Source organism: Homo sapiens, chromosome 7 (assembly GCF_000001405.40).
Source record: "Homo sapiens chromosome 7, GRCh38.p14 Primary Assembly".
In the NCBI taxonomy this organism is placed as follows: Eukaryota; Metazoa; Chordata; class Mammalia; order Primates; family Hominidae; genus Homo; species Homo sapiens.
The window spans coordinates 11,017,541-11,031,565 of NC_000007.14; the positions used below are offsets into that span (position 1 = coordinate 11,017,541).

A 14,025-nucleotide genomic window follows, 5' to 3' on the forward strand; every position below is an offset into this window, starting at 1 on the left:
TTTATATGTCTTTTTTTGAGAAATGTCTATTCAAATCTTTTGTCTGTTTTTAATCAGATTATTAGATTTTTTCCTGTGGAGTTATTTGAACTCCTTGTATATTCTGGTTATTTATCCCTTGTTAGTTGGGTAATTTGCAAATATTTTCTCCCATTCTGTGGGTTGTCTCTTCAGTTTGATGATGTATTCTTTGCCCAGCTTGTTGTGATCCTGCTTTTTAAAAAAACCTGATATGATATCTTTCGTCTGTTTTTGCTTCGGTTGCTTGTGCTTGTGGAGTTTCGCTCAAGAAATTTTACCCAGAGCAATGTCCTGGATTCCCCAATGTTTTCTTGTAGTATTTTCATAGTTTGAGGTCTTAGATTTAAGTCTTTAATCCATTTTGATTTGATTTTTGTATATGGCAAGAGATGGCGTCTAGTTTCCTTCTTCTGCATATGGATATGCAGTTTTTCCAGCACCATTTGTTGAAGAAACTGTCTTTTCCCATATATATGTTCCTGGCACCTTTGTTAGGCACTAAGTTCACTTAGGTGCGTGGATTTGTTTCTGAGTTCTGTATTTTGTTCCTTTGTTCTGTGTATTTGTTTTATGACAGTACCATGCTGTTTTGGCTACTGTAGGTTTGTGGTATAATTTGAAGTCAGGTAGTATGATTCTTTTTTGCTTAGGATAGCTTTGGCTCTTCTGGGTCTTTTGTGGTTCCGTATACATTTTAGGATTATTTTTTCTATTTCTGTGAAGAATGTCATTGGTATTTTGATAGGGATTGCATTGAATCTGTAGATTGCTTTGGGTAGTATGGGCATTTTAACAATATTGATTCTTCCAGTTTGTGAACATGGAATATTTTTCCATTTTTTGGTGTCGTCTTCAATTTCTTTCATCAGTGTTTTATAGTTGTTATTATAGAAATCTTTTACTTCTTTAAGTTAATTCCTAGGTATTTAATCTTATGTGTGGCTATTGTAAATGCCATTACTTTTAAAATTTCTTTTTCAGATTATTCACTGTTGTCACGTAGACATGCTCCTGATTTTTGTATGTTGCTTTTGTCTTTTGCAACTTTACTGAATTTATCGGTTCTAATAGTTTTCTTATGAGGTCTTTAGGTTTTTCCAAATACAACATTATATTACCTGCTAACAAGAATAATTTGACTTCTTTCTTTCCAATTTGGATGCCCTTTTTATCTTTCTGTTGTCTGATTGCCGGAAGCTAGGGCTTCCAGTACTATGTTGAATAACAGTGGTGACAGTGGGCCTGCTTGTCGTGTTCCAGATCTTAGAGGAAAAGCTTACAGTTTTTCCCATTCAGTACGATACTAGCTGTGGGTCTGTCATATATCGCTTTTATTATGTTGAGGTATGTCTTTCTATCCCGTTTTTGGGGAGTTTTTATGATGAAGGGATGTTGAATTTTATTAAATGCTTTTTCAGCATCAGTTGAAATGATCATATGGTTTTTATCCTTCATCCTGTTGATGTGATATATCATGTTGATTGACTTGCTTATGTTGAACCATGCTTGCAACCCAGGGATAAATCCTACTTGGTCATAATGATCTTTCTAACGTATTGTTAAATTCGGTTTGCTGGTATTTTGTTGAGGATCTTTGCGTCAGTGTTCATCAGAGATACTGGCCTGTAGTTTTCTTTTTTTGATGTGCCTTTGGCTGGTTTTGGTATCAGAGTAACACTGGCCTCATAGAATGAGTTTGGAAATATTCCCTCTTCCTCTGTTTTTTGGAATAGTTTGAGTAAGATTGGTATTAGTTCTTCTTTAAGTGTTTGGTAAAATTCAGCAGCGAAGCCATCAGGTCAAGCAGTCCCAGGCTTTTCTTTACCGGGAGACTTTATTATGGCTTCAATCTCGTTACTTGTTATTGGTCTGTACAGGCTTTGGATTTCTTCATGGTTCAATCTTGGTAGGTTGTATGTGTCTAGGAGTTCATCCATTTCTTTTAGATTTTCTAATTTATTGGCATATAGTTGCTCATAGTAGCTGCTAATGATCCTTTGAATTTCTGCAATATCAGTTATAATGTCTCCTTTTTTATTTCTAATTTTATTTACTTGTATCTTCTCTCTTTTTTCCTCAGCCTGGCTAAAGGTTTGTCAGTGTTGTTTACCTTTTCAAAATACTAACATTTTGTTTCATTGATCTTTTGTATATGTTTTTTATTTCAATTTTATTTATTTCTGCTCTGATCTTTATTAATCTACTAATTTTGGGTTTGGTTTGCTCTTGCTTTCCTAGTTCTTTAAGATATGTCATTGGATTGTTTATTTGAAGTTTTTTCTCTTTTGATGTAGGTACCTATAGCTATAAACCTCCCTCTTAGTAGGGCTTTTGCTGTATCCCATAGATTTTGGTATGTTGTGTTTCCATTACTATTCGTCATACTCTTCTTCTTTATGTCCTTTGTTGGGTGTCCTCCCAGCTGTTCTGAAATGAAATATGGCTTTGAACTAAATTCCTTAATTTTTAAAAATAAGCTTTATGTTGCAATAGAAGGCAGCATTGAAATCTTTATGTCTCAGTTCTTTCTTTTTTTTTTTCCAATCAGACGGGGCCTGGCTCTGTTCCCCAGGCTAAAGTGCAGTGGCACGATATTGGCTCACTGTAACCTCTGCCTCCTGGGCTCAGGTGATCCTCCCACTGAAGCTTCCTGAGTAGTGCAGGTTATAGGTGTGCGCCACCACACCAGGCTAATGTTTGTATTTTTCTGTAGAGACGAGGTTTCAACCTGTTGCCCAGGCTGGTCTTGAGCTCCTGGGCTCAAGCAGTCCTCCCACCTCAGCCTTCCAAACTGTTAGGATTACTGTACCTGGCCAATTTTTTCTTTTTTTCTGGAGAGAACGTCTGGCTTTGTCACCCTGACTGGAGTGCAGTGGCATGATCTTGGCTCATTGTAAACCCCCGCCTCCTAGGCTCAAGCAGTCCTCCTACCTCAGCCTCCCAAGTAGCTGGGACTACAGGGGCATGCCACGACACCTGGCTAAATTTTGTATTTTTTGTAGCGATGGGGTTTCACCATGTTGCGCAGGCTGGTCTCAAACTCCTGAGCTTAAGTGATCCTCCTACCTCTGCCTCCCAAAGTGCTGGGATTACAGGCATGAGCCACTGTGCCTGACCACTTCTTTCTTTTTTTTTCTTTAAAATTCTAGATTTAGTAAGTCTTAGTTCTGTCCCTTGCTAGACTTGTTATATTTGAAAATCAGTTAATTTTTCTGAAACCAATTCTTCATATGTAAATGAACAACCTCCTACTCAACAGAAGCTTTTAGGCTTTTTTTTCCTTGTAGTTAACATTTCTTGAGTGAAGACAGTGAGCCACACTCTGCTGTAAGCACTTCACATACATCTTTATAACTTCCAAACTACCTTTATGGTGCTCTGTGCCTAGTAGACACTTATAATTGATTACTGAATGAAGGAATGAAAATAACGTACTTGACGTGAATTTGTTTTACATGCTGTAAAGGCATTACTGATACAGAGCACTTCAAACTCCAATTTTATTGATTAATATAGTTTTCATTCTTAAATGAGTCTTTTGAGAAGTATCACTCTACTTAGTCTGCTTTATTAAAATATATGAATTTACAATAATCTGTTAATAGTTTGTGCTAGGATGACAATTCTGACTGTTTTTTGGTGGTTTTATGTGATGCTTATTTCCTGTTCCTTTCCCCAGTCAGCATCTGTCATAATAGCTCCAAGCAAAATTAATGGTAAAGTAACAAGGAAGATTTTTTTTTAAATTGTAGATTTGTCTTAATTACAAAGTTATAAATAATGTGCATCTAAACAGATGAGCAAGAAACTATTTACAGCTGGTATTAAAAGGGACCATAGTTGTCTCGGCCATGATTTTCATTGACTTTGATAGGTATTTTAATGAGGACTCAAGTTGGTATCCTCACATGAGTGGTTGGGAGAATGATATACTTGTATGCCAGTCACATTGAAATGGCAGTTTAAATCTGTAGTACTTGTGTACTACATTTTAAGAAGGTCAGTATGAAGCAAGCAGCCAGCTGTTAGGTTTATCAGAGATAAACTCCTACAGAGTATAGCGACATTTAATACATCAGTGGAGCATGAAAAAACTGAACAAATTAAATTGAGAAAGCAGCTGCTTGTTGAAGATGTGTATCTTTATATTGAACTCCATAGGATGTATTTGGGAGGTTGGATTAAAACATTCTATCAAGAAAATCTCAAAACCTTGGCTTTTTTCCCCAATAAAAAAGATAATTTTTTAAAAAGATTTAGAACTATTTTTCCCAGTGCCTCTAGAGAATAATTTTTGGTCTTAGTCCTCTAAAACTCATAATGCACCACAAAAACCAGAACCATGTAGCATGCATAGCCTCTGAAGTTGTGATAAAGCAGAATTTGTTGTTAATATATTCACAGGGTTAATAGAGATTTGCTGCTGTGACCCTCTTTCTTACAAAAGTGCTAAGATCTACTGTTTAAATTTCAAAGTCAGTGATGCCACATTTTGTTTTGTTGTAAGCAAGCAGAAAGAGTGCCTAATATATTAAAAAAGGTTCAGAGCAGTTTTTAAAAAATGAAATTAGAAACAACTGCAATTTTTTTCAGTGTACTGAAACTCTGAGCATTCTTTGTTTTAGTCTTATAGCATCATTCAAACTTTAATAAATATTTATATTTGGGGCATATAAATTTTAGTATATAGATTGTATGGTAAACAGATAAGATGAATAAAAATGTGAATTGCTTATTCTGTACCTTTTCCCAGCAGTTTTAATCTGGAAAGGAAGTTAAAACTGTATACAAAAATTGTAAAATATGTCCTTAAAGATTATTACCCCAGCAGCTTTTGGAAAAGAGTAATAAGAGAAATTTTACCTAATTACTGCAGAGTAAATTCACAGTTATTAAATTAGTATCCTTAATTCTCAAAGGGTTTGAAATAATGAACGTGACTACCTTTCCTTGCATATGAAAATGATGTTTTGTTTCATTTGAATAGTAGTTTTATGCAAATATTTAAGAATAGATAAGTGCAAAGTGCAGTGAGTGAATTTTAAGTGAAAGGCAATTATAGTTGTTAGCTCTCAGTTTTGGCTAAGCTGCTGGAAAAGTAATTTCAGTCCCCTTTTTTGTAACTAAGTGTTATTCTGTAGGTGTTTCATATTTTTTAATGATGTGCCTGAGATTGCGAGATTTTAACATTTGATTACAGAATTCTCTTGGTAGTATTTTGAGATGGCAAGCGTTTTATATGTTTGTTTTGTGTGTGGGAATTTTATTAAAAGATTTGATAGCAAAATCATATCTTCTCTTCTTAGATGGGTTCATATTGTTTGTGCCCTGTATGTTCCTGGAGTAGCCTTTGGAGATATTGACAAATTACGACCAGTAACACTAACGGAAATGAACTATTCCAAATATGGTGCCAAGGTGAGACACAAAGCATTTTTGATTGCTTGAAAGAGAAAGGTTTTACTTGTTAGTTTACCTGGCTTTTTATTTGTATTATGTTGACTGCAGAAATGCTTACTAGGAATCATTCTATTTAGCACTAAATCATTTATTATTGATAGTAGTTTTCCTAGAAAGCCAATAATGCATAAATTCTTCTATACATTCTTAATTTAGAGTAACGTATGAGGTAAAATGATAATTGGTACTACTACCATTTCCCTGGCAGTGTTCACAATGCCTAATACATAGACCAAAACCTTATTTACAATTAGATGGATCAAATATAAGCCTAATTTCTGACTTTACTTTTGAAGTGGAATTTGTCAAAATTATGAAAAAGAATATTAGAAGTGATCTTTGATGCTGTTACTGTAATTGTTTTGGGGCGTGCCGTTAACATGCCCTTAATAGATGGTGAACTTAATTGATATATGTTATGTGTGTTCTGACTGCTTCACCAACCTGGTGTTCCCCTATCTTTCTCCCTGACTTGGTTGGGGCCTCTCTGTTCGCTGAGACACAGTGAAATTGAAATTTGGCCAATTAGGGCTGGGTGCTCACGCCTGTTATCCCAGCACTTCGGGAGGCCAAGGTGGGCAGATCACCTGAGATTAGGAGTTCGAGACCAGCCTGGCCAACATGGCGAAACCTCGTCTCTACTAAAAATACAACAAATTAGCTGGGCGTGGTGGCGCGTGCCTGTAATCCCAGCCACTCAGGAGGCTGAGGCAGGAGAATCGCTTGAACCCAGGAGGTGGAGGTTGCAGTGAGCTGAGATTGCGCCACGGCACTCCAGCCTGGGCGACAGAGTGAGACTCCATCTCAAAAAAAAAGAAAAAGAAATTTGGCCAATTAATAATTCTACAGTGGCCTCTAAGTGTTCAAGTGAAAGGAAGAGTCATACATCTGTCACTTTAAATTAAAAGCTAGAAATGATTAAGCTTAGTGAGGAAGGCATGTCGAAAGCCTAGGTAGGCCAAAAGCTGGGCCTCTTCTGCCGAATAGCCAGTATGTCAGTGCAAAGGAAAAGCTCTTGAAGGAAATTGAAAGTGCTACTCCAGCAAACACATGAATGATAAGAAAGTGAAGCTGCCTTATTGCTGATAATGGAGAAAATTTTAATAGTAGGGATAGATCATAGCAGCCACAACATTCCCTTAAGCCAAAACCTCATCCAGAGCATGACCCTAACTGTTCAATATTGTGAAGGCTGAGAGAGGTGAGGAAGCTGCAGAAGAAAGGTTGAAAGGTAGCAGAGGTTGGTTCATGAGGTTTAAGGAAAGAAGCCATCTCCGTAATATAAAAGATGAAGAAGATGCAGCAGGTACTGATGGAGAAGCATCAGCAAGTTATTCAGAAGATTTAGCTAAGACAAATGATGAAGATTTGTACATTCAACAAAGATTTTCAATGTAGATGAAACAGTCTTCTATTGGAAGAAGATGCCATCTAGGACTTACCATAGCTAGAGAGGAGAAGTCACTATCTGGCTTCTAAGGGCAGGCTGTCTCTCTTGTTTAGAGGTGAATGCGGCTGGTGACTTTAAGTTGAAGCCAGTGCTCCTATACTATTGTGAAAATCCTAGAGCCCTTAAGAATTATGTTAAATCTACTCTGCCTGTGCTCTGTAAATGGAACAACAAAGCCTGTGCACAGCACATCTGTGTACCGCATGGTTTACTGGATATTTTAAGCCCCTTGTTGAGACTTACTGCTCAGAAAAAAGATTCCTTTCAAAAGATTACTGCTTATCGACAGTGCACCTGGTGGTCACCCAAGAGCTCTGATGAAGTACAAGGAGATTAATGTGTTTTCCTGCCTGCTGTCACAACAGCCATTCTGAAGCCCATGGATCAAGGAGTCATTTTGACTTTAAAGTCTGATTATTTAAGAAATACATTTCATAAGGCTATAGCTGCCATACATAGTGATTCCTCTGATGGATCTGGGCAAAGTAAATTGAAAACCTTCTAGAAAGGGGTCACTTTTTTAGATGTCATTAAGAATATTTATGATTCATGGGAGGAGGTCAAAATATCCATATTAACAGGAGTTTGGAAGAAGTTGATTGCAGCCTTCATGGATAACTTTGAAGGGGTTGAAGAATTCAGTGGAGGAAGTCACTGCAGATGTGGCAGAAATAACAAGATAACTAGAATTAGAAGTGTAGCCAAAGGTGACTGAACTGCTGCGATCTCATGATAAAAATTTGAACAGATGAGAAGTTACTTCTCATGGATGAGTGAAGAAAGTGGTTTCTCGAGTTGGAATCTACTCCTGGTGAAGATGCTATGAACATTGTTAAAATTACAACAAAAGACTTAGGATATTACATAAACTTGATTGATTAAGCAGGAAGAGGGTTTGAGAGGATTGACTCCAATTTTGAAGGAAGTTCTACCATGGGTAAAATGCTGTCAAATAGCATCACGTGCCACAGAGAAATCTTTCATAAAAGGAAGGATGAATCTATGCAGCAAACTTCATTGTTTTATTTTAAGAACTTGCCAGCCGGGCACGGTGGCTCACACCTGTAATCCCAGCACTTTGGGAGGCCGAGGTGGGTGGATCACGAGATCAGGAGATCAAGACCATCCCGGGTAACACGGTGAAACCCCGTCTCTCCTAAAAAAATACAAAAAATTAGCCGGGCATGGTAGCAGGTGCCTGTAGTCTCAGCTACTTGGGAGGCTGAGGCAGGAGAATGGCGTGAACCCGGGAGGCAGAGCTTGCAGTGAGCCGAGATCGTGCCATTGCCCTCCAGCCTAGGTGACAGAGCGAGACTCCGTCTCAAAAAAAAAGAAAAAGAAAAAGAAAGAAATTGCCAGGCTGGGTGCGGTGGCTCACGCCTGTAATCCCGACACTTTGGGAGGCCGAGTTGGGTGGGTCACCTGAGGTCAGGAGTTCGAGACCAGCCTGGCCAAAGTGGCAAAACCCTGTATCTACTAAAAATACAAAAATTAGCTGGGCGTGGTGGCACGTGCCTGTAACCCCAGCTACTCAGGAAGCTGAGGCAGGAGAATCACTTGAACCCAGTAGGTGTAGGTTACAGTGAGCCGAGATTGCACCACTGCACTCCAGCCTGGGTGACAGTGTGAGACTCCATCAAAAAAAAAAAAAAAAAAGAGAGAGAAATTGCCACAGCCACTCCAACTTTCAGCAACCACCACCACCCCCATCCGTCAGTGGCCATCCACATCAAAGCAACATCTTTCACCAGCAAAAAGATTATGACTTGCTGAAGGCTCAAGTGATCATTAACATTTTTTAGCAATAAAGTATTCTTAAATTAATGTACTTAACATTTTAAAAATACATAATGTTATTATGCATTTAATAGACTACAGATAGTATAAACCTAACTTGAAAATACATGGAGAAACTAAAAAATTCTCGTGATTTGTTTTATTGTGATACTTTATTGAAGTGGTCTGGAGCTGAACTTGGGTTATCTCTGATGTATGCTTGTAAATTTAACAGAGGTTATTTGAGCATTAACAGATGTATTTATTGGGCAGCACTTAGAACTAGAAAAGGCTCAGAGATGCCCACTTCAATAGTGTGAGCAGTGGGCTTCTATTGGCTGAATGTGGAACCAAAGTAAGGAAATTACTTAATTGACTACAGCTGTGTTGTTTTTCTGTATGGGTATGATTTAGTAGAAAGTGTCCAGTTACGTTATCTGATGTCTAGTTGGCTGTTGTGGTTAGTTGAAGCTTGTTTTTTTTTTTTTTTTAAATTTAATTTATTACAAGGAATTTTTCTAAATTAAATTTCACCTTGTGTAAAGTTCCATGTACAGAAACAGGTCCAGGCTAATTTCCTCTTGCTTATTTTGCTTTAAGAAAACATCACTGGGAAACTGAGTTGAAAATTAGGTACTCTCTGGCTTCTCTGCAAAATCAGATACAATGTTGTAAATCATGACTGGGACAGCCTTCTAGACCTCATTGTCTACTCATTTTCCAATCTGAATTATGTTCTCCTGTGTTCTCAGTTGCTTAGTTCACTAGCATTTTAAATGATTCAGGCGATTGAGGAAGATTCTGTTTTCTTTGATAGATTGTTTTATAGTCTAAAAAGGCTGTCAGGAATATTTTCCTTATATTCACTCTGAAATCCCTTGCTCAATTTCAACATATTACATGAAATTATCCAGATAATCTAAACAATATGTCTCTGTTCACAGTGTGGACATCCTTTAAATAATTTAATTTCTCTTTATCTCTCTTGCTCAATCTCATGTTTAGATTGCTATTTGCCAGTATATTATACCATTTATGTTCTACTGTTATTAGAGAAATTATATTAACTAGGCAGTAGGATGTCAGGATTTGACTATTGAAGTTTTTAAGTTTTCCTTGTATTTGTTTCCTTCTTATGTAGTTCACTTTGAATACTTATATTAAACAATTCTTTAATTGTCCATTGTCAGTCTTTCATAATTTAACATCTTTTTCTTTTATGAAGATTTCTGTTACCAGAGTAGTTTAAACTTTTAGACTAGCTAATTCCCCCTTTTTCTTTTAAGAGATAGTTAAAGGAATAAAAAAATAAATAAATCTGAGAGGATTTGCGGTAATTTCAACAGTTCATACCTTGGTTTTATAAATTTTCTCTTTTTATACAGAAAGAATGTACATAATTGACTGTGTTGTATATTACTACCAATTTCACCTGATTATTAACCTAAAATTACTTTTAGTTGTCTTAAAGATATTTAAAACATGCATGATTTCTAGGTTGTAATGCCTAGATTTTTTGTTGGATTTTCTCTGGTCTCTTGTTTCCTTTTCCAAGCAATTTTATATTGTTTAAGAATTAGTATAGCTTGATGGTGGGCTTTAAAGTAAGATTGTCCTGGTTTGAAGCCTTACATTTACTTTCTTTGTTATTTTTGGCAAGCAGATTTCTTAACTTGTCTTTACTTTAATTTCCTCATGTGTAAAATGGGAATAGTTATAGTATCTCTTCTTCATAGTAGTTGTGTTTAATGATTACATATATTTATACATATAGTCCTTGACTTATGATGGGTTTACATCCTGATAAATCCATTGTAAGTTTAAAATATTTTAAGTTGAGATTAATTTAATACACCTAACTTACTGAGCACAGCTTAGTGTTGCCTACCTTTAATATGCTTGGAACATTTACATTAGCCTACACTTGAACACAATCATCTGACACAAAACTTTATTTTATAATAAAATGTTAACTATCTCATGTAATTTATTGAATACCCTACTGAAAGTGGAAAACAGAATGGTCGTATGGGTACTGAAAGTGTGGATTCTGCTGAGCGTGTATTGTTTTTGCAACATTGTAAAGTTAAAAAATTAGAAGTGGAACTGTTGTAAACTGGGGACTGTCTGTATATGTAAAGTGCTTAGAATAGTGACTGGCACATAGTAAGTCCTCAAATAATTTTAATTATGGTTGTATTATTATTTATTATCATTAAATTAGTTGAATTTTGATTTATTTGAACCATATAGGTAATTACGTTTTTTCATATAAACTCTTGGCTCGCCTATGATTATTGTTTGTATTGGTACATAATTGGTTCATTATTTGTATTTAGCATTTTAAATATTTAGTGGACACTTTGTATGAGAATGCAGTCTTTAGTCTGGAAATAAGTTTGCTTTGAGAATTTTTCTGTTACTTTGTTGTAGGAGTGTAGCTTTTGTGAAGACCCTCGCTTTGCTAGAACTGGGGTTTGCATTAGCTGTGATGCAGGGATGTGCAGAGCCTATTTCCATGTGACCTGTGCTCAAAAGGAAGGTCTGCTTTCAGAGGCAGCGGCGGAAGAGGTAGGTTTATTTAAACCCATAGTTGGTGAACATGTTCACAAGATATCTTTTGACTCTATGTCCTATAATAAGTGTAAATAATAAAAGAAATTTTAACATTTATTCTTAAAGTTCTTGCCAAGATCACTGTTCTAAAACTTTAAGAGTAAATGCCTATGAGTTTTGTCAGTTTTAAAGCTAGTCAGACGTTCAGAAAACATAATTTTTATAGTGAGATCTGACAGATAAAATGAAAGATAATCCAAGTTGTCTTAAAGCATTAAAATGTCGGCATTTCAGCCCCATGAATTATAGTTAAAAAAAAATAGCATATTTTATACGAGAAGCTGAAACTGTATTTGGGTAACCTTGCTCTATTTTTCTTTAAATAAAATCATTACTGTGTCTTTAGTATCTCTGTTACTATCTCTTTACTGTTACTTTTAATTCCATAATATTCCTTTCAGATTTATTGGCTTTACGTTAAAAAATCAGTTGTTTTCAGTGTTTGGGGACTGGTTAAGATTCGTTCAAGTATTCTGAGTTTAAAACTATTTTCATTACACTATAAAAATGTTACTTACTTTTCTGAACTCTGTTCTTTCATGAGTATTAGTGGAGACTTCCAGAGATTACATACAGTATAACAGAACCCACCGAATATAGAAACAATTTTGAGAATCCAGCTACCTTTTTTTATGTCAGTTATCTAGACATTAGTATGTAAAATGTAAAACAGTGCCACTCTCCTCACTCAATTTTTGTGTGTATGTGAATTGTATTTAGTAAAAGTGTATACTTCGGTAATGGACCCATTATTTAAAATAAATTAATGAATATTGCAAAAAATTTTCAGTTTTAATTTTTAATAGGGTAACTGTCTAAAATATAACTCACATAAACCCTTTGGAGTCCTCAGTAATTTTTAAGAATGTTAACAAATTGTGAGCAGGTTCAGTTCATTCCTTAAGCTTACATAGTAATGAATGTTTATTTAGTAATTTTTATTGCACATTCATGATGGCTTTATGGTAATAGTCTAAGCCTCTCCTTGTTATGTTTTTTCTTTTATTGGGTAAATTTTGTTTATTGTGCTGAGATTTTATCTTAGTACATTTATTTCATTTCCAGAAAGTGAGCAAAGATACTCTGATGAAGAAAAATTGTAGAAAAAAATTTGAAGGATATATTTTATGAATAAACAGATCTTATAGGAATTGTATTTTTGATACATGTAGCTGTTTTTGATACATATAGCTGTTCCAATCTCTTCATTTATATAGCTGTTCCAGTCTCTTGATTTTAAGGAATTGTACTTTGATGAAGGCTACTAGATGAACAGTGAGCATCTTCTCAGCTACTAGGTAGACATAGAGTTATAATTATACGGTAAAGGTAGTCTGGATTCCTCATAGCTACAACTCAGGATGGTGGGCAAAAGTACGAGAGGGCAATACAGGTAAGAGTTAGAGGACCAGATAAATACTACGTAAATACTTGGATCAGGGAATCTATAGGATAAGGTTAGTTGTCTACTTCTGGAAAACTTTGAGCTTTGCGGTTAGTAGGGTGCTTTTGGAGCCAGTGGAGAGCTTTCTTTTTTACTATGGTAGTTTGGATTCCTTTGCACAGCATCATATGTCATCATTTTTGGCAAGATGGCAGCTAATTAACAAAAATGTGTGAAGCAGCCATGTTTGGGACAGTGGGGTGTAATGGAGTTATGGGATTTGGAGAGTGCATCTCCGTCTAAAGGCATGCAAATTAAATGAAACTAAACATAATATTAAGCTACATAGTTTACATTCTGTGGTCTGTGTATCTTACCTATAAGCTAATTTGAGGAAATTTACAGGGAAACAGATACATTAGGATGTGAGAATTAGCCCTGAGGCATCTTCCTTGCCTTGCTGTGTCCCTTGATTAATTAGGTGGGAGCCCTGGATGCTGGAATAATAAAATGCAACTTTTCTCCCTATTCACTACCTTACTCAGTGTGCTGTTGTTTTGGGGGGAAATGATTTAAAGCATATTTACATATATATGTTACTGGTTTCTTGTTATAAACAGAGAATTAGAAAATTCTAAATGTTTTCTGAACGATATTTCAAAACCCAGAATATTGCATGAATCAATATTAATGAAGTTTGCATTTGACAGTAATCATTCTGTCTTGTCTATTTCTAGATGGTTGTACTTATGTACATAAGGATTTATGTAATGTAATAGCATTTAAAATTAAGAAACACATTTTAAACTAAAATAGATCTATGTTTGTGAGCATATCTTGCCTTCTATTTCCATTTTATACTCTTTAGACATTCTAGGGAACTTTTCAAAAGACTATATCAAGTTGGATTTACTACTTTTTCATGGTGGTTTTATATAGGCTGTTAAAAAAAAAAGGTTGAAAAATAGAATAAACATATCAGTTTCATCTAATGACATTGTGTACCTTTCTGTATTTTTTATGACTTTGTATAGCCTTCTGACATAGTCCTTTATCTCATTGGTGAGAATCCATGTGACATTTCTATTCTTTTTCATCTACTTTGTGAATATTCCAGATTTATTAAGAATAGTCAAAGCATGTTATGACACAACATGCTTTATTAGAAGGATATTTAAAACCATGTTATGACACAACATCTTATTTTTAAAACTGGACTATAGGGCTGGGTGCAGTGGCTCATGCCTGTAATCTCAACACTTTGGGAGGCCAAGGCCAGAGGATTGCTTGAGGCCAGGAGTTTGAGGCCAGTTTGGGC

At 35.6% G+C, this 14,025-nt stretch overlaps 1 protein-coding gene across 4 annotated transcripts in view; it reads left to right on the top strand.

The window, feature by feature from the left end:
* Window positions 1–14,025, top strand: part of PHF14 (PHD finger protein 14) — a 195,747-nt gene that overhangs the window by 43,669 nt on the left and 138,053 nt on the right. For all 4 annotated transcript variants that reach the window (NR_033436.2, NR_033435.2, NM_001007157.2 and 1 more), the window contains 2 exons: window positions 5,328–5,439; window positions 11,141–11,278. Coding sequence is in view for 2 of the 4 variants with exons in the window: in NM_001007157.2 (NP_001007158.1) it covers window positions 5,328–5,439; window positions 11,141–11,278 (250 nt within the window). In the remaining 2 variants the exon portion in view is untranslated. The remainder of the gene's footprint in view (window positions 1–5,327; window positions 5,440–11,140; window positions 11,279–14,025) is intronic.